This window comes from Homo sapiens, chromosome 10 (assembly GCF_000001405.40).
Source record: "Homo sapiens chromosome 10, GRCh38.p14 Primary Assembly".
NCBI classification, from domain to species: Eukaryota; Metazoa; Chordata; class Mammalia; order Primates; family Hominidae; genus Homo; species Homo sapiens.
The window spans coordinates 13,346,908-13,366,256 of record NC_000010.11 but is presented as its reverse complement, the minus strand read 5'-3'; the positions used below and the strand labels follow the sequence as shown (position 1 = coordinate 13,366,256).

The 19,349-nt window shown below is 51.0% G+C and overlaps 1 protein-coding gene across 8 annotated transcripts in view, besides 5 other annotated features; it reads left to right on the top strand.

Moving 5' to 3' along the window:
- Positions 10,692-10,845: a silencer, noted in NCBI's record as "fragment chr10:13397412-13397565 (GRCh37/hg19 assembly coordinates)". NCBI's record gives its function as "represses an EF-1alpha promoter that drives an FKBP-Casp9 reporter gene in an ReSE screen in K562 erythroleukemia cells {active_cell/tissue: K562}" and the evidence as "EXISTENCE:reporter gene assay evidence [ECO:0000049][PMID:32094911]".
- Positions 16,197-16,988: an enhancer, noted in NCBI's record as "OCT4-NANOG-H3K27ac-H3K4me1 hESC enhancer chr10:13391269-13392060 (GRCh37/hg19 assembly coordinates)". NCBI's record gives its function as "activates a minimal SCP1, AML or CMV promoter by ChIP-STARR-seq in naive and primed H9 embryonic stem cells {active_cell/tissue: H9 hESC(naive and primed)}" and the evidence as "EXISTENCE:reporter gene assay evidence [ECO:0000049][PMID:30033119]".
- Positions 16,989-17,779: an enhancer, noted in NCBI's record as "NANOG-H3K27ac-H3K4me1 hESC enhancer chr10:13390478-13391268 (GRCh37/hg19 assembly coordinates)". NCBI's record gives its function as "activates a minimal SCP1, AML or CMV promoter by ChIP-STARR-seq in naive H9 embryonic stem cells {active_cell/tissue: H9 hESC(naive)}" and the evidence as "EXISTENCE:reporter gene assay evidence [ECO:0000049][PMID:30033119]".
- Positions 17,849-18,068: a silencer, noted in NCBI's record as "silent region_2154". NCBI's record gives its function as "represses an Ori minimal core promoter by ATAC-STARR-seq in GM12878 lymphoblastoid cells {active_cell/tissue: GM12878}" and the evidence as "EXISTENCE:reporter gene assay evidence [ECO:0000049][PMID:35858748]".
- SEPHS1 (selenophosphate synthetase 1) overlaps positions 17,964-19,349 on the top strand; it is a 30,866-nt gene continuing 29,480 nt past the window's right edge. For 6 of the 8 annotated variants that reach the window (NR_164738.1, XM_047424841.1, NM_001195602.2 and 3 more), the window contains exon 1: positions 17,964-18,257. The gene's annotated coding sequence lies outside the window, so the exon portion shown is untranslated. Of the gene's footprint in view, positions 18,258-18,557; positions 18,981-19,349 lie in introns of those variants that run through there. The other 2 variants (XM_047424840.1, XM_047424839.1) reach the window with 1 other exon arrangement.
- Positions 18,199-19,028: a silencer, noted in NCBI's record as "silent region_2153". NCBI's record gives its function as "represses an Ori minimal core promoter by ATAC-STARR-seq in GM12878 lymphoblastoid cells {active_cell/tissue: GM12878}" and the evidence as "EXISTENCE:reporter gene assay evidence [ECO:0000049][PMID:35858748]".

Below are 19,349 nucleotides of genomic sequence, written 5' to 3'. Positions count from 1 at the left end.
GAATCAACAAGAAGCCAGACTGAGCTGAGGAAATCACCACCAACAAATGGTCAGGGGCGCCCCCCACCCCGCACCAAATGAATCACAGAATCTTCAGCGTGGAAAGGATCTTCATGCTCAAGTACAACAACACATCTGCTGCTTGGACCCCCCTGCTAAGCATTGAAATAGAAACATTCCCCTCGCTCTCTTTAAAGAATACAGAGCACCTCATAGGATGGAGGACTGGCTGTGCTCGGAGAAATTCCAGCCAAGGAGGTCAAACCTGAACAACATCCAAAATGAGAAATGGTCCCTGCAATCCAGATGTGGGAGCTCTGAGAGAGTTGAAATCTATTTTTTTCCTTCCACCATTATTTATTTATTATCCTCATCTTTTTTCTTTTTTCTTTTGGACAGCGTTTCACTCTATCACCCAGGTTAAAGAGCAGTGGCCAGATCTCGGCTCACTGCAACCTCCGCCTCCCGGGTTCAAGAAATTCTTCTGCCTCAGCCTCCAGAGTAGCTGGGATTACAGGCACCAGCCACCAGGCCCGGCTAATTTTTGTATTTTTTGTAGAGATGGGGGTTCACCATGTTGGCCAGGCTAGTCTCAAACTCATGGCCTCAAGTGATCCACCCTCCTCGGCATCCCAAAGTGCTGGGATTACAGGTGTGAGCCACTGCACCCAGCCCCTCTTATCCTCATCTTGCATCCAGTCTGTATACAACTTTGAGTCTGGAGTCCCTGGAGTCGAGTCTACTCCTGAACCATGTTCAGCATAAGGGCTGGCGACACTGCTGACAGAGAAAGTATCCAACAAGGACAGTCACAGTTGGGTGGGATGAACTCACGTTGTAATTATTTTCCCAAGTGGCCTCTAACCAGAGGAAATAATTGAGGAAGACGGTAATCATGGGGCAAAGGGTAAAGTCTGCCATGGATTAAACATTGGAGACAAAGAATGTGGAGAAATAGCTGCTCCCTTGCTTGGAGAACAATGAACTCTAGTTAACTGAGGACTTAGTTCTGGATTCCATTTTTATTCAAGAATTTCTTAGAGCAGGAAGTCAGCCTGAAACATACATCCACATATACTTGTCTTTTCAAACTATTTTCTCTGCATCTCTCTCCTCCTTACTTTTCCCTCTTTCTTCCCCTCCCCTACCCAATAAACACGAGGTGGGAGCTGGATGCTAACAATCATCATTCAATACAATGTGACCACATGCAGATAGTCTCCAACACTGGGGGACAAAGAAGAGCCTATCACAATTTCATTCTGAAAAACGTGAAGAGGCTGGTGCATAACTCACGCCTGTAACCCCAGCACGTTGGGAGGCACAGGCGGGAGGATCACATGAAACCAGGAGTTCAAGACAAGCCTGGCCAACATGGTGAAACCCCATCTCTACTAAAAATACAAAAATTAGCCAGGTGTGGTGGTACGTGCCTGTAGTCCCAGCTACTCGGGAGGGTGAGGTAGGAGGATCGCTTGAAACCAGGAGACTGAGGTTGCAATGAGCCGAAATCGTGCCACTGCACTCCAGCCTGGATGATGGAACAAGACTCTGTCTCAAAAAAAAAAAAAGAAAAAAAAAAGAAAGAAAGAAAAAGAAAAATGTGGAGGATGCATCTAGACCGAGGTGATCATGACTTTTCATTTAGGCTGGGCACGGTGGCTCACGCCTATAATCCCAGCATTCAGGGAGGCCAAGGCGGGAGAATTGCTTGAGCCCAGGAATTCGAGATCAGCCTGAGTGGCAAAGCAAAACTCCATCTCTACAGAATTTTTTTTTTTTTTGAGACGGAGTCTCGCTCTGTCACCCAGGCTGGAGTGCAGTGGCGTGATTTCAGCTCACTGCAAGCTCCGCCTTCCGGGTTCACACCATTCTCCTGCCTCAGCCTCCCGAGTAGCTGGGACTACAGGCGCCTGCCACCACGCCCCGCTAATTTTTTGTATTTTTAGTAGAGACGGGGTTTCACCGTTTTAGCCAGGATGGTCTCAATCTCCTGATCTCGTGACCGCCGGCCTCGGCCTCCCAAAGTGCCGGGATTACAGGCGTGAACCACCGCGCCCGGCCAGAAATTTTTTTTAAAGTAGCTGGGCATGGTGGCGTGCAACTGTAGTCCCAGCTACTCATGAGGCTGAGGTGAGAGTATCACTTGATCCCAGGAGTTCAAGGCCGCAGTGAGCTATGATGGTGCTACTGCACTCCATCCTGGGCCACAGAATGAGACCCGGTCTCAAAAGAAAGGACTTGGACTTAGATAATAACCAGAAGTGGGTGGCTACCAAGATCTCATTTAGAAGAGGGGCATCTGCACTTTCTGAAACGATGTGCAAGATTTCACTCATTTTAATTAGTGGAGGCAGGACGGGGCGGGGGTGGAGTCGATGAAAATGCAATCAAAGAAAATAAACCAGGTGTTTTTCAATATTATCTTTCACCTATCAAAAAAGGGGGAAACAATTTTTATTTTGTTTTTCTTTTTTGAGACGGAGTCTCGCTCCCTCACCCAGACTGGAGTGCAGTGGCGCGATCTCAGCTCACTGCAACCTCCGCCTCCCAGATTCAGGCGACTCTCCAGCGTCAGCCTCCTGAGCAGCTGGGATTACAGGCACACACCACCGTGCCCGGCTAATTTTTGTACTTTTAGGAGAGAAGGGGTTTCACCATGTTTGCCAGGCTAGTCTCAAACTCCTGACCTCAAGTGATCCGCCCACCTCGGCATCCCAAAGTGCTGAGATTACAGGCATGAGCCACCACGCCCGGCCAAGAAACAATAATTTTGTAGCCTTTGATATTCTCTGGGTGCAAGGAAATCTTCATTTTATACACAAAAGGAATCATTTTGGGGGGGTTAAAAATGCAGAATTCACTGGGCAAACACCATGACAGGCACGGTGGGATTTTGGTGGAATGTGGCTACGTTCAGGGAGCTGCAGAGCTAGAATCTTGGAAAGCATCTTCTGATTGATTATATTTCAGTGGCGCATACTCCCCTCACCGCATCGCATGGAGGTGTGCTTCCGGCCATGGTCAATCGCATAGATGCCCCCTTGCGTTGCTGTCTAGACTGAGTTCAAGTCCTGTCTCCTGCCTCCGTTCTGCCACCGCGCAGTGGTGTGAGATCTTTTTGTTTTTTGTTTTTTGAGACGGAGACTTGCTTCGTTGCCTAGGCTGGAGTGCAGTGGCGCGATCTCGGCTCACCGCAACCTCCGCCTCCCGGGTTCACGCCCTTCTCCTGCCTCAGCCTCCTGAGTAGCTGGGACTACAGGCGCCCCCCACCACGCCCCGCTAATTTTTTGTATTTTTAGTAGAGATGGGGTTTCACCGTGTTAGGCAGGATGGTCTCGATCTCCTGACCTCGTGATCCGCCCGCCGCGGCCTCCCAAAGTGCCGGGATTACAGGCGTGAGCCACCGCGCCCGGCCGGTTTGAGATCTTTTCTGAGCCTAACTGCAGAGCCGCATGGGTAGCAGCCCTGGGAGAGGGGACAGCAGCGCCACTCAGAGGCCTGGAGGCTGAGTGGGTTTCTAAACTATGGTGGACTCTATGGCGTGTTCTTCATTTAATGAAGGCGTGAAATCATTAATTCACTCCTTCTGAAATCAAACACAAAAGTGCCAAAACCATGACAGGAATTCCTTGTGACCTTTTTTTTCTTTTCTTTTTCCTTTTTTTTTTTTTTTTTTGAGACAGGGTCTCACTCTGTCACCCAGGCTGGAGTGCAGTGGCATGATCACAGCTCACTACAACCTCAACCTCCCGGGGCTCAAGCCATCCTCCCACTTCAGTCTCCTGGTAGTTAGGACCACAGCCATGTGCCACCTTCCCAGCTTTTTTTTTTTTTTTTTTTTTTTGAGACAGAGTTTTACTCTTGTCTCCCAGGCTGGAGTGCAATGGCGCGATCGTGGCTCACTGCAACCTCTGCCTGCCATGTTCAAGTGATTCTCCTGCCTCAGCCTCCCAAATAGATGGAATTACAGGTGCTCGCCACCACGCCCAGCTAATTTTTTGTATTTTTAGTAGAGACAAGGTTTCAATATGTTGGCCAGGCTGGTCTCGAACTCCTGACCTCGTGATCCGCCTGTCTCAGCCTTCCAAAGTGCTGAGATTACAGGCATGAGCTACCACCCCTGGCCATTTTTAAAAACTTTTTTAGAGATGAGGCTTCGCTATGTTGCCCAGACTGGTCTCAAACTCCTGGGCTCAAGCAATCCTCCTGCCTTGGCCTCCCAAATTGCTGGGATTTCAGGTGTGAGCCACTGCGCCCAGCTGTTGTGACCTTTTTTATTTTTGTCAAAAAAGCTATGGTTCTACCAAAGATCGTAAGGCCACTGATGAAGAGGAATGATGATTACTGAAATTACTGTAATATTAATGAGTTAATGGAATAGTAATGTCCTCCCTATATTTCAAAGGTCTCCCTCAAATGCAACTGCTGTTCTCACAGTACTTACCACCATACTTAGGCTGGGAGTCACAGACCCCTCCGAGGAGCTAGTGGAAGCGAGGAACTCTCTTCCCAGAAATGACGAGGAAACACAATTTTGTTCATCATTTCAGAAGGTTCATGGATTCCCTCCTCTCCCCTCAAATGTAAAATAAAACAAAATGCATCTCCTGCCCGGGTGCGGTGGCTCACGCCTGTAATCCCAGCACTTTCGGAGGCCGAGGCGGGCAGATCACCAGGTCAGGAGATCAAGACCATCCTGGCTAACACAGTGAAACCCTGTCTCTACTAAAAATACAAAAAATTAGCTGGGCGTGGTGGCGGGCACCTGTAGTCCCAGCTACTTGGGAGGCTGAGGCAGGAGAATGGCGTGAACCCAGGAGGTGGAGCTTGCAGTGAGCAGAGATCGTGCCACTGCACTCCAGCCTGGGCGAAAGAGCGAGACTCCGTCTCAAAAAAAAAAAAAAAAATGCATCTCTTGCAATCTCCACTTAGCACTTCATATTTCCACAATTCCCGTCCACTGATTTGGATTCCAACGTTCACGGGATCCCAGTACCCAGCCCAGTGCCTGGAAACTAGTAGTTGATCAGTGCTAAGGCTTATTGTTAACCTGACTTTGTAGGCAAAGGTGGTGGACAAAGACAAATGATATATAGAAGTAGATAGAGGCTGGGCACGGTGACTCACGCCTGTAATCCCAGCACTTTGGGAGGCTGAGGTGGGCAGATCACCTGAGGTCGGGAGTTTGAGACAAGCCTGACCAACATGGAGAAACCAACCCCGTCTCTATTAAAAATACAAAAATTAGCCGGGCATGGTGGCTCATGCCTGTAATTTCAGCTACTCAAGAGGCTGACGCAGGAGAATCACTTGAACCCGGGAGATGGAGGTTGTGATGAGCCGAGATCGTGCCATTGCACTCCAGCCTGGGTGACAAGAATGAAACTCTGTCTCAAAAAAAAAAAAAAAAAAGGAAGTAGGGAGAAAGCTTATTTCTCTTGTTCAAGAAAAAAACTTTATTGGTCTTTCAGCGGTATCCATTTTTGTTGGAATTCAGGTCACTTGGGAATTTCATAGCATGGAAAAACAGGACCAGTTTCTCTTTTTTTATTTTTATTTTTAGAGATAGGCTCTCATTCTGTTGCCCAGGCTGGAGTGCGGTGGCAAGATCATAGCTCTCTGCACCTTGGGCTCAAGCGATCCTCCCACCCCAGCCTCTCAAAAAGTGCTGGGATTACAGTCATGAACCACTGCATCCGGCCCAGTTTGTCTTATACAGAGAGGGATCCAAAACCCTTGCCCTTGGAAGAGTTCAATTGATCTAGAAAGCTATGTAGTTACAAGAATAACCCCAGGCAAGTCCAGGCACCGTGGCTTACGCCTGTAATCCCAGCACTTTGGGAGGCTGAGGCGGGAGGATCATGAGGTCATGAGATTGAGACCATCCTGGCTAACATGGTGAAACCCCACCTCTACTAAAAATACAAAAAAAAATTAACTGGGTGTGGTGGCACACACCCGTAATCCCAGCTACTCTGGAGGCTGAGGCAGGAGAATCGCTTGAACCTGGGAGGCGGAGGTTGCAGTGAGCCGATATCACGCCACTGCACTCCAGCCTTGCCGACAGAGCAAGATTCCGCCTCTAAAAAAATAAAATAAATAAATAAATAACCCCAGGCAGGGGCCTAGGGAAAACAGAGACGGCTCCAAAAGATCAAAATGCAATCTAAAATTTGCCTTAATGGTCTTGCTCTTTTACAGTATCAGCCCACAGGAAAATGCTGGCTTCCAGGGCATACACAGCAGGTGGTCCCAGGCCCTACTTTGGGATATATTCCAGGCTGTGTCACTTTCCCACCTGACCTACCAGGGCCCCCATCTGGCCTTCCTGGTTCTCTGGCTTTCCTTAGCCCTGAATCTATTACCTCGGAACCTCCTGGTTCTGGATCTGAATTTCTGCTCCCCTTAGACACCTACCTTCTGACACTTGTCCCCTGGCCCTAATCCCTGCTGACAGACAATTCTAGAGCTGCAAAGCCAGGTCTACAGGGAGTGGGGTGGTCCTGTGGAAGGAACCAGCCCCAGGGCCACTAGGGTTCCCTTCAATCCAGTGATCTATTTTCTTTTCTTTTTTTTTTTTTTTTTTTTTTGAGACAGAGTGTTGCTCTGTCGCCCAGGCCAGAGTTCAGTGGTGCGATCTCCACTCCCTGCAATCTCCGCCTCCCGGGTTCACGCCATTCTCCTGCCTCAGCCTCCCAAGTAGCTGGGACTACAGGCGCCTGCCACCACGCCTGGCTAATTTTTTGTATTTTTAGTAGAGACGGGGTTTCACCGTGTTAGCCAGGATGGTCTCGATCTCTTGACCTCATGATCCACCCGCCTGGGCCTCCCAAAGTACTGGGATTACAGGCGTGAGCCACGGCACCCGGCTGCAGTGGTCTATTTTCAATTCCTTATCTTACTTTAATTTTCTGTAGATTTGGCAATGTCCGATATTCTTCCCTTCTTGAAATGTTCTTTGTCACCAAATTCCAGAATGTCACTTTCCTGCCATTCCTAGCATATTTCAAGCAGTGTGCTAGGCACTGGGGGCAAAGACATTCCAGACAGTTTCTGCAAGACACTCATGGTTTGATGGGACTTTTGGAGGAACAGGCTAGGTACAGGGAACACCACTGCAAGTCAGCTGGATAGGTTCCATGACGAGGACTGTACAAGGGATAGGGTGGTGCAGAGAATGGAATATTTGTTTCCTTTGACTTTTCTAACAAATAAGCCACAAATTTAGTGGTGCTTATTAAATCTATTAAAAAGATGCAAATCTATTACTTTATAGTTCTGGAGCCCAGAAGTCTAAAATGGGTGGGCAAGCCACGTGTGGTGGCTCGCAGCTGTAATCCCAGCACTTTTGGAGGCTGAGGCCAGTGGATCACCTGAGGTCAGGAGTTCGAGCCCAGCCTGGCCAACATGGAGAAACCCCTGTCTCTACTAAAAATACAAAAAATTAGCCAGGCGTTGTGGCAGGCACCTGTAATCCCAGCTAATGGGGAGGCTGACGCAGGAGAATCGCTTGAACCCAGGAGGCAGAGGTTGCAGTGAGTCAAGATTGCGCCATTGCACTCCAGCCTGGGCAACAAGAGCGAAACTCCGTCTCAAAATAAATAAATAAATAAATAAATAAATAGTAAAAAATATAAAAATAAAAATAGGCCAGGTGCAGTGGCTTATACCTATAATCCCAGCACTTTGGGAGGCCAAGGCAGGCAGATCACCTGAGGTCAGGAGTTCAAGACCAGTTTGGCCAACACGGTGAAACCCCATCTCTACTAAAAATACAAAAATTACCCGGGCATGGTGGCGCATGCCTGTAATCCCAGGCATGTAATCCCTACTCGGGAGACTGAGATGGGAGAATCTCTTGAACCCAGGAGGTAGAGGTTGCAGTGAGCCAAGATCGCACCACTGCACTCTAGCCTGGGCGACAGAGCGAGAGTCCGTCTCAAAAAAACAAACAAACAAATACATACATACATACATAAAAATAAAAATGGGTGGGCAGAGCCGTGTGTCTTCTGGAGGCTTCAGGGGAGAATCCGTTTCTTATGGACCCTCCTGTGTCCCTTGTGATGACATTGAGCTCACCTGGATAATCTGGGATAGTCTCCTATCTCAAGATCGTTAGTTTAATCACATCTGCAAAGCCCTTTTTGCCACGGAAGATACTATGTTCATTCACAGGTTCTGGAGATGAGGATGAGGGTATCTTCAGGGATTATTACTCTGTCTACCAAGAATAGGGTGTTCACTCTCCCTAGAGTATCTAGAGAGCCCTTCAGAGAGGAGACTCTTGGAGCTGAATCTCACAAGTTTAGTTATTATCCATTTTCACCAGAAGTGAGGAGGGTGGAAGAGGGAGAGCAGGTGAAGAAATAGTACTTGCTGAGACACTTCGTGAAGAAAGAGAAGTGAGCCCAGAGATCTGGAAGCCACTCAGTGTGGCTGTAGGGCTGAAGAGGGTAGATTAAATTAGAGAAGAAAAGTAGAAGCCTGGCTGCGGTGGCTCATGCCTGTAATTTCTGCACTTTGGGAGGCCAAGGCAGGAGGATCTCTCAAGCCCAGAAGTTCAAGGCTGTAGTGAGCTGTATGGTGACACCACTGCATTCCGACCTGGGTGACAGAGCCAGACCAAGTCTCAAAAAAGAAAGAAAAGTAGGCCGGGCGCTGTGGCTCATGCCTGTAATCCCAGCACTTTGGGAGGCCAAGGCGGGCGGATCACCTGAGGTCAGGAGTTTGAGACCCGCCTGGCCAACATGGTGAAACCCCGTCTCTACTAAAAATACGAAAATTAGCCAGGCGTGGTGGCGGGCATCTGTAATCCCAGCTACTCGGGAGGCTGAGGCAGGAGAATTGCTTGGACCCAGGAGGTGGAGGTTGCAGTGAGCTGAGATCACACCACTGCACTCCAGCCTGGGTAACACAGTGAGACTCTGTTAAAAAGGAAAGGAAGGGAGGGGAGGAGAGGGGAGGGGGAAAGAGAGAAAGAAAGGAAGGAAGGGAGGGAAGGAGGGAAGGAGGGAGAGAGGAAGGAAGGAAGGAAGGAAAGAAGGAAGGAAGGGAGAGAAGGAGGCTTGGTCACAAAGCGTTTATTTTTTTGTTTGCTTAGTTTTTTACCATACTAAGGAGTCTGAAATTTATCCTGTAGCTATTATTTACTTGGTCAGTGCTATTACTTCAGCCTGTGCTATTGTTTCTTTAAACTTTTATTTAAATTGACTCACTTTTGTTCTGAACAATAATGTCTGTGAAATCACAGGTTTTATGTTTCAGTTAAATCCTTCCAGTGGGTGTTGAAATGAATACCCCTAACTACAAAAATAAAATATTCTTCCATGCCCTACTTAACTCATCCATGCACACCCACGAATGAAGACCAGACTTTTTGAGAAATGGAGCCACAGGCAACGGGAGCTACTGCGCAGTTTTAAGCAAGGAAAGGACATGATCAGGTTTGCCTCTGATAAATGTCATTCCAGCCGCATGGATCATTTTGGGCTGATGGAAATGAGCAAAACAGCAAAAGACCGTAAATAAGGCTAAGTCCACAACAGTGGGGATGAGAGATGGAGAATATCAAGGTGGTAGAATTGACTCAGAATAGGGACTGGAAAGAGAGGGAGGAGTTCAGCATATGGGCCAGGGTTCCACCACGTGCAACACAGGAGATTGTCCACCAGCCAAGAGAGTACATAGTCGGGGGTGATGGGACAGGGAGAGTGGGAAGGAAAATGATTATTTTGGTCTGGAACATGTTGAATGTGAAGTGTTTGTGTAACACTCAAGTAGGTGCCCAAATGCCTGTGTCTGGGGTCTGGGAACCAGGAATCCTTTAAGGCAGTGTTGTCCACTAGAAAGTGGATGTGACCACATGTGTCATCTTAAGTGTTCAAGTGGCCCCATTTTAAAAAGTAAAAAGAGGCCGGGCATGGTGGCTCACACCTGTATCCCAGGACTCTGGGAGGCCGAGGCAGGTGGATCACGAAGTCAGGAGTTCTAGAGCAGCCTGGCCAACACAGTGAAACCTCATCTCTACTAAAAATACAAAAATTAGCCAGGTGTGGTGGGGCACAGTGGCTCACGCCTATAGTCCCAGCACTTTGGGAGGCTGAGGCGGGTGGATCACGAGGTCAGGAGTTCTAGACCAGCCTGGCCAACACAGTGAAACCTCGTCTCTACTAAAAATACAAAAAATAGGTGTGGCCAGGCATGGTGGCTCACGCCTATAGTCCCAGCACTTTGGGAGGCTGAGGTGGGTGGATCACGAGGTCAGGAGTTCAAGACCAGCCTCGCCAACACAGTGAAACCTCGTCTCTACTGAAAATACAAAAATTAGCCAGGTGTGGCTGGGTACGGTGGCTCACGCCTGTAATCCCAGCACTTTGGGAGGCTGAGGTGGGTGGATCACAAGGTCAGGAGTTCAAGACCAGCCTGGCCAAGATGGTGAAACCCCATCTCTACCAAAAATTAAAAAAAAAAAATTATCCAGGCATGGGGGCGGGCACCTGTTAATCCCAGCTACTCGGGAGGCTGAGGTAGAGAATTGCTTGAACCCAGTAGGTGGAGGTTATAGTGAGCCGAGATCGCCCACTGCACTCCAGCCTGGGTGACAGAGCGAGACTCCATCTCAAAAAAAAAAAAAAAAAAAAAAAGGTTAAAAGAAACAGGTGACATGAATTTTAATTGTGTGTGTGTGTGTGTTTGAGATGGAGTCTTCTTCTATTGCCCGGGTTGCAGTGCATTGGTGTGAACTTGGCTCACTGCAGCCTCCGCCTCCCAGGTTCAAGTGATTATCTTGCCTCAGGCTCCCCAGTAGCTGGGATTATAGGCACCCACCACCATGCCTGGCCAATTTTTTTTTAGATGGAGTCTTACTCTGTCGCCCAGGCTAGAGTACAGTGGCACGATCTCGGCTCACTGCTACCTCCACCTCCTGGGTTCAAGTGATTCTCTTGTCTCAGCCTCCCAAGTAGCTGGGATTACAGGCACCTGCCACCACACCTGGCTTATTTTTTTGTATTTTTAGTAGAGATGGAGTTTCACCATGTTGACCAGGCTGGTCTGGAACTCCTGACCTCAGGTGATCCAGCCGCCTCAGGCTCCCAAACTGCTGGGATTACAGGCATAAGCCACTGTGCCCTGCCTGAAAATTTCAAACAAAAGAGTGGGACTAGCAAATGCTGGAGGCTGGGTGCATGGGCTCCAGACGTAGCCCAAGCTCAAATCCTGGTTTCACTACTTACAGCTGGGCACTGTGGTAGCACTGCCCACGCCATTGACATCTGACTCACTGATCTTACCCAAAGCTGCAGGGGCCAGCCCGCTGAGAGCATCCCACCTCAATCACCTGCCTGCCCAGCACTCCAGGGCAGCTCTGCTGGCCCTGAAGTTCTCAGTCTTGTCCAGTCCAGTGAGAGGACGTGCGGGGAGTTCCGGGGAATTAACATCCAGGGGCAACCCTTAACCACCAAAGGACAGGAGTCAGTGGATAGAGCCGTGGCTTCTTTTCCTGCCAGTAGCATGAGTTTAAGGGGACAGATTTGTTGCTATTGCTGTTGAGACAAATTATCACAAACTTTGTGGCTTTGTCAGAGGCATTTGAACCAGATCAACTCCATCTTGAATGGGAGCTGGGTAAAATGAGGCTGAGACCTACTGGGCTGCATTCCCAGATGGTTAAGTCATTCTAAGTCACAGGATGAGATAGGAGGTCAGCACAAAATCAGGTCATAAAGACCTTGCTGATAAAACAGGTTGCAGTAGAGAAGCCGGCCCAAATCTACCAAAACCAAGATGGTGATGAGAGTGACCTCTGGTTGCCCTCATTGCTACACTCCCACCAGCACCATGACAGTTTACAAATGCCACGGCAATGCAGGAAGTTACCCTATATGGTCTAAAAAGGGGAGGCATGAATAATCCACCACTTGTTTAGTATATCATCAAGAAAGAACCATAAAAATGGGCAACCAGCAGCCCCCAAGGCTGTTCTGTGTATGGAGTAGCCATTATTTTATTCCTTTACTTTCTTAATAAACTTGTTTTTTAAAAATACATACATAAAATTAAATAAACTTGCTTTTGCTATTTTGCTTTGCACTGTGGACTTGCCCTGAATTCTTTCTTTCTTTTTTTTTGAGACAGAGTCTCACTCTGTCACCCAGGCTTGAGTGCAATAGCACAATCTCGGCTCACTGCAACCTCCACCTCCTGGATTCAAACGATTCTCCTCCCTCAGCCTCCCGAGTAGCTGGGATTACAGGCGCCTGCCACTATGCCTGGCTAATTTTTGTATTTTTAGTAGAGACAGGAATTCACCATGTTGGTCAAGCGGGTCTCGAACTCCCGACCTCAGGTGATCCACCCGCCTCGGCCTCCCAAAGCGACGGGATTACAGGCGTGAGCCACCGCACCCAGCTTGCCCTGAATTATTTCTTGTGCGAGATCCAAGATTCCTCTCTTGGGGTCTGGATCAGGGCCCCTCTCCTATAACAGCTTGAATTATGATCTGACAGTTCTGTGGACCAGAAGTCTGACACAGATATCATTAAGCTAAGATCAAGCTATCAGCTAGATGTATTCTCTTCCAGAGGCTTTAAAGGAGAACCTGCTTGTCTTTTCCATATTCTAGGGGGCACCTGTTTTCCTCAGTTTGTGGCCGCTTCCTCCATCTTCAAAGCTAGCAATGTCAGTCTAATTCTTTCTCACGCTCCCATCTCTCCAGCTCTCTATTCCCTCTTCCACTTTTCAGGAGGCTTGTGATTACCTTGGATCCACCTAGATTATCCAAGATAACCACCCTATTTTAAGCTCAAATGATGAGCAAATTTTTCTTTAATTATTTTAAGAGACAGGGTCTCTGTCACCCAGGCTGGAGTGCAGTGGTACAATCATACCTCACTGTGTCCTTGAACTCCTAGGCTCCAATAATCTGCCAGCCTCAGCCTCCCGAGTAGCTGAGACTAGAGGCATGAACTACAACACTTGGCTCTGATCAGTACATTCAATTCCTGCAACTGAAATTCCTCTTTGCCTTGTAACATGACATAGTCACAGGCTCTGGGGCTTGGGACATAGACCTACTGGAGTTCGTCATTCATCTGCCTGCCCTAGGGGGTCCGTACCATTTCTCAGAGCAGCCTCAACAGGGCAGAGTCCCAGGTGCCCACGGTTGGTAGGCCACTCTAACATTCCTTCCGGCTTTCTCCTTTCTGTTTCCTCCTGTCTGCTTCATGACTTATGTTTCCTAGGATCACCTCCCAAATTAACTAACTCCCTTCTCCCTAATCCTTGTCTCCAGGTCTACTTTGGGGGAGCCCAAACTAAGACAGTGACCTTGGATAAATTACTTAATTAGTCGGAACCCTGGTTCCCATCCCCATGAAAGGAAAACCTACCGCAGGGGACTGTGGGGAGAATTCTAAAAGCAGTGCTTTAAAACACTGTGCAGTGGGGTATGTAGTGAATCCTCAACAAAGGTTAGCTATTGTTGGAGGGGTGGAAGTCAGGGTACAGGCAGGGACCAGCCTGGGACCGGCAGAGGGCAGTCCTGTCTCTGAGACACTGACCCTGGAGGTCAGAGGAGTCTAGTGGGGCCAGGGAAGGGTGGGGGAATTACAGGGTTTCCCCTGAGGACATGAATTCTTTTCTGTAAGGTGCATCTGCTCTTGAAGGCAGCAAAGTGTGAACCAGCCCTTGGGGAGAATAATGAACATCAGGAATAACATACTCAATGATTTCTGAGGTGTCAGAAAAGCCCGGCTGGCACTGGGGGCTGACATGCCCATCATGGCAGGATCTCTAAGTTCTGAGTTTCCTCCAGCCCAGTGGAAGGACAAAGAAGGCAGGTAGAGGGGCTTAAGTTTGGACATGTGGGGGTGAACATGGTCAATGAAATGGGTTGAGGTGAGATGAGGCTGCAGAACTACCCTCAGACGGTCCAAGCTGAACAGAATGAAACGGATCCACTTCAGGAGACTGGTGGCCCCCATGAAGTTAGAGTGTGGGTGTCCTATGTAAAGAAGGGAGAGGACTCAGGGACGGGGGAGAGGGTGTTGGTGTTTAAGATTTCCAGGGTTAGCTAAGCATGGTAGTAGTCCCAGCTACTCAGGAGGCTGAGGTGGGAGGATTGCTTGAGCCCAGAAGTTTGAGACCACCTTGGGCAACATAACGAGAGCTCATCTCTAAACGAATAAAAAATGAAAGATTTCCAGGGCCGAGAAGGTTCACAGCACGGCCAAGACAATGGGTGTCTAAAGTGGAGTTAAGGTCAAGGTCATCAGATTTGCACATCCATCATCTAGCAGGTGCTATTCCTGAGAATGGACCCTCTCCATCCCCTGGGATGACAGAGCAGGGGCCACTTTTGAATGGGCATGATTCAAACCATGCAGGGGAGTGACACTTCTGGCAGCAGATGGTGGCAGTGTTGGATGGCATGAGCCCCGAATGAGAAGGGCAGGTGACAGGAAGGTGATGTCACTGGAGCTGCTTTTCTGTTTTGGGGTGAGCAGGATGTGGGGTATAGAACAGGCAGCCTCTCGTCCCTCTGGGTTTCAGAGGAAGTGGAATTCTTAGGTCAGTGTTCTTCAAAAGCATCAGAATCACCCAGGGAGCCTGGCAAAATGGGGATTCTTCACATCCCTTCCCCACCACATACACCTCCGACCTGCTGGAGTCTTTTCCCATGGCTGCCATAACAAAGGACCGCAAGCTGGGTAGTTTAAATCCCGGAGGCTGCTAGCGGGAAGCCAAGGTGTCGGCAGGGCTACGCTCCCTCTGAAAGCTCTAGGGAAGAATTCCTCCTTGCCTCTCCCAGCTTCTGATGCTGACGGCAACCTCCGCTGTAGCTTGTAGCTGCATTGCTCCAACCTCTGTCTCGGTCTTCACATGCATGGCCATCTTCCCTGTGTCTCCTCTGTGCCGCTGTCTCCAAATCTTCCTTTTCTTTTCTTTCTTTCTTTTTCTTTTTTCTTTTTTTTGAGACATCTTGCTCTGTCACCCAGGCTGGAGTGCAGTGGCATGATCCCAGCTCACTGCAACCTCTGCCTCCTGGGTTCAAGCGATTCTTCTGCCTCAGCTTCCCGAGAAGCTGGGATTACAGGCATATGCCACCACGCCCAGCTAATTTTTGTACGTTTAGTAGAGATGGGGTTCGCCATGTTGGCCAGGCTGGTCTCAAACTCCTGGCCTCAAGTGATCTGCCCACCTTGGCCTCCCAAAGTGCTGAGATTACAGGCATGAGCCACCACGCCCAGCCCAAATATTCCTTTTTTTCTAAGAATATGAGCCATAGGATTTAGGGCATATCACAATTGAGTATGACTTCATCTTACCTTGATTAAATCTGCAAATATTTTATTTCCAAGTAAGGCCACATTCACAGGTATGGGGGGCAGTGAGGATTTCAACACACCTTTTGTGGTGGACATAATTCAACCCATTGTATCTGCTAGCTGTAATCTTTCAAGTGAGTGAAGCTGGTAAATTAGTTCTTTTTGTTTTGTTCTGTTTTGTTTGAGACAGGGTCTTGCTATGTTACTCAGGCTAGAGTGTAGTGGCACGATTACAGCTCAATGTAGCCTTGAACTACTGGGCTCAAATGATTTACCTCAGCCTCTGAGGTAGTTAGGACTATAGGCATGCGCCATCACACCTGACTACTTCTTAAATTTTCTGTAGAGACGCGGTTTCATTATGTTGCCCAGGCTGGTCTCAACCTCCTGGCCTCAAGTGATCCTCCTGTCTTGGCCTCCCAAAGCCCTGGGGTTACAGGCACCCTGAGCTACCCTGCTCAGCGGTAAACTGGTATTTTTAATAAGCCCCAACCAGACAATGCAACCCAGGAGAACCATCTCTTGGACGGAACCAGCAGAGCCTGAGAATCCAGCGGGGATGGCTCCCTAGAATGGGGTTCTGGTGAGCCCGGGAGTTGCGGGGGAGCGTAGGACTAGCTCAAAGCAGTACCCAAGGAAGAAGCTCTCATCACCGGCAAAGAAAAGGATGCATGACTCTGCCAGATGATCTGGGCCAAGGCTGTAGTGTGGCCCTGGATGAAGTAAGGCATCTGTGGCTTACGGCCTCTGCGGCAGAGAACTGCTTCCCGGTGAGCTCGTGGTGGGTGGAGGCGGGGAGGAAGAGTCGGTTCTGAGGATGGTGGCCTCCCACCGACGCAGCGGGGATCGGCCTCTGTCCCGCCCAGCCACTTGATTTCCAAGTTCTGCAGAGCTCTGTCCAAGGTCTCTTTCACTTTTTTCCTGAGCTCTCCCTTCGGGGTTAATCTCACCTCTTACGGAGGCTTCGAACACCATTTACATGCTGATGGCACCCAGATTTGCATCTCTGAGCCCCATCCCCACACCAAATTCCGGACCTGTTTCCCTATTAACTTTGGTCTGGAATATCCGGCAGACCTGAGATTTGCAACTCTGAGCCCCACCCCCACACCATCCGGCAGACCTCAGATTTAACATTTCCAAAGCTGAACTCACCCCGAAACTTGTTTGCCTTTCAGCAGTTCTTAGATAAATTATTAGCATCGCTCCTCATTCCCTCCCCCACCCCCCACCCCCGCAAACTGGAAACCTGGGGGTCATCTTATCCTTCTTCCTCTCCTTCCTACGTGCTAAATCACACCAAATCCCTTCCCTGGGCTGCATTCCCCTTGCTTTCAGTTCAAGTACATCTCCGGGCTTGACTAGTACAATACCCTCTTAATGAGAACCGTGACCCTGTCTTCCCCTCTGGGAGAAGCCATCCTCCAGTGGCAGGCGCCTGTAATCCCAGCTACTGGGGAGGCTGAGGCAGGAGAATCACCTGAACCCAGGAGGCGGAGGTTGCAGTGAGCCGAGATCGCGCCACTGCACTCCAGCCTGGCGACAGAGTGGGACTCCGTCTCAAAATAAATAAATAAATAAATATAAAATAAAAGAATGCAGACTAACACGTTCTTTGCAAACTTACTACAGGGTATGAAGAAAGTACACAAAGACAGGAGCAGCCTGTCTTCGAGGTGGCATCACTTCTGCATCCAGCCCAGGATTAAAACCCGGAGCAACTGGCAAGCGGAAATGTTAACGAAAAGGGCATCTGCGTAGCGTGCCAACCTGCCGTGCCACGTAAAGCACGGTCCAGTGACCCAAAACATTTCTGCTCCCAAATAACATTTGGAAAATGCTGACCTACTGCCTAGAAAAGTTCGATCGGCATTCCTGCACACTGCTGTTTTAGAGAGAAGCCCTAAACGATATCTGAAAGTATTTGGTTTATTTTCATCAGCAATGCTTTAGAATCTCGAAAGCCCAGAAAAAAGTTATTTCACGACGTGAAGCTCCCCCCTCGATGTCAATTCGAACACATCCAGGGTTGCGGCTGCCATGTTCGCTCGAACATGTGCAGGACAAACAATGCAACCAGCGGGGAACCGTAAACCTTTTTCCTCGACTTCCTACCACGCACATGAAGTGTTCAAGAAACTTTGCAGGACGTCTCCACATTTCACGAGGCTCCCGTGAACTCCGGAGCCGAGCTAAACAATAGGAAGGACAGATGCTGGGAGTCCCCAAGCATCTAACGCGCCGTTTGTGTTTTCAAAAAACCTCTGCCTGGCGCCCAGGCGGCTTTTCCTGGGCTCCTAGCCTCCTGTGCAAATTGTTCCCATGGTCATTGTCTTCCAGGACGCTCCGCTGCGCACTCGGGGAGCGGGGACAGCGCCCCGCAGAGCGCCGCGCGGTCGAGCCCGGCCAGGTGGCGGAAACGTTCCCGGCCCTTGCAGCGGGGCCCGGGAAAAAGGTGGCCCGGGCGCCAAGGGCGGCTGCCAATGCAACTCGCAACTTTTGAAATCAATCCTTTTTTGCATCATGCAACGGATGCCACCGCTCCTCGGGTTTGCAACCCCCCACCCCTCCCCCGAGACCAATCATTGCCGCGCTCGGGGCTGCACGGCGCCCCCGCCCCCTTCCCGGGCCGCACGCCGCCACCCAGCAGCCAGGGCCGCCTCTTAAAGGGAGGTGGCCGGCCTTAAAGGACCCCCGCGCGCCCAGCCGGCGGGAGCGCGGCGGCCCGGCTCCCGCAGGGCCGCGCCGAGGCAGGCGAGCCCCCGCGGCGCCCAGGCGCGGGCCCGGGCCCCCGCCGCCGCCGCCGCCGCCGGGCGCGGCATTTTTATTCAGGCGACGCTTAAGGGAGCCCGGCCGCGCCCGGTGCATTGTGGGAGCGGCCCGCGGCCCGTTTTCGGGAGGAGGCGGAGGGCGCAAAGCGAGCCGGTAAGCGGCGGGCCCGGCGCGGGGGGGAGGCGCAGGCTTAAAGGGGAATCTGGGTCCGCAGGCCCGCGGCGGCCGTTGCAAATCCCCCTCCGGGCCGCCCGGGACCGCCGGGGAGCCGCGCGCCGCCGGCCCCGCCAGCCCTGCCTGGAGAGGGGCAGCGCCGGGCTTGGTGGGGCCGCTTTAAAAAAGAAGCGCCGCCCGCGCCGCCGCCGCCGCCGCGCGGGGCCGGGGAAGGAGGGAGGGAGGGCGGGGAGGAGCGGAGGGGAGGGCGGCGGCGGCCACGCAGGGGTTAATTTTTTCGCCCGCCGACATTTTTGCGCGGCGGCGGCGGCGGCCCGTGCGCGCGGCGGGAGCGGCCGGCCTGGGGTCGCGGGGTGCCTCCGGGGCCTCCCCGCCTCCCCTTTTCTCCGCGCGGGCCCTGTCGACCCGGGGCGGGTGCGTCCCGGCGTCCTCCCCGGCTCCTGGGCCGCACGCGCGGTGCCCGCCGGCTCCCGCCGCCTCCCGCCGGCCCGAACAGGGATGGCCCGGCCGGGGCCCCGAGCTGCCGCCTCCGCCCCGCCGCCGGCCCGCAGCCCGGGCCTGCTGGGCCTTCCGAGGCGGCGGCGAGGGCCTGAGCCTGAGCCTGAGCCCGAAGGTGTCCCCGGGTTCCTTGCTCCCCTCCCCGGCCGCCTCCGACGCGGGCGTCCTGGAGAGCGCGCCCCATTGTGCGGGGCCGGCGGGGAGGTAGGTCCGGGGTTGGCGGGGCAGCGCGCCGGGCCCACCCCGCTGACCGGCTCCCCGGCTCCCCACGCTCGTTGGAAGAAAAAAAAAAACCAAACCATGGAAATGTGCCCGGGAAGGAAAGGGCTAAACGTTGCTTTAAATATTCATGCCATTGTTTTAAAGGCGTAAACATGTGGCTGCGGGGTCGCCGGGCACCGTCCCTTATTAATGCAAATGGATCCCCCTGGTTCCCTAATCACTGCACATTTCCCCCAGAACCCCCTCCCCCTTCCCATGCCCTCCAAAAATGTAAGAATCTAGTACTTTTTTCATTAGGATGTGAGGCTGATTTGTGTCCTTAGTACCATTTGGAATTTTAAATCTGAGCGC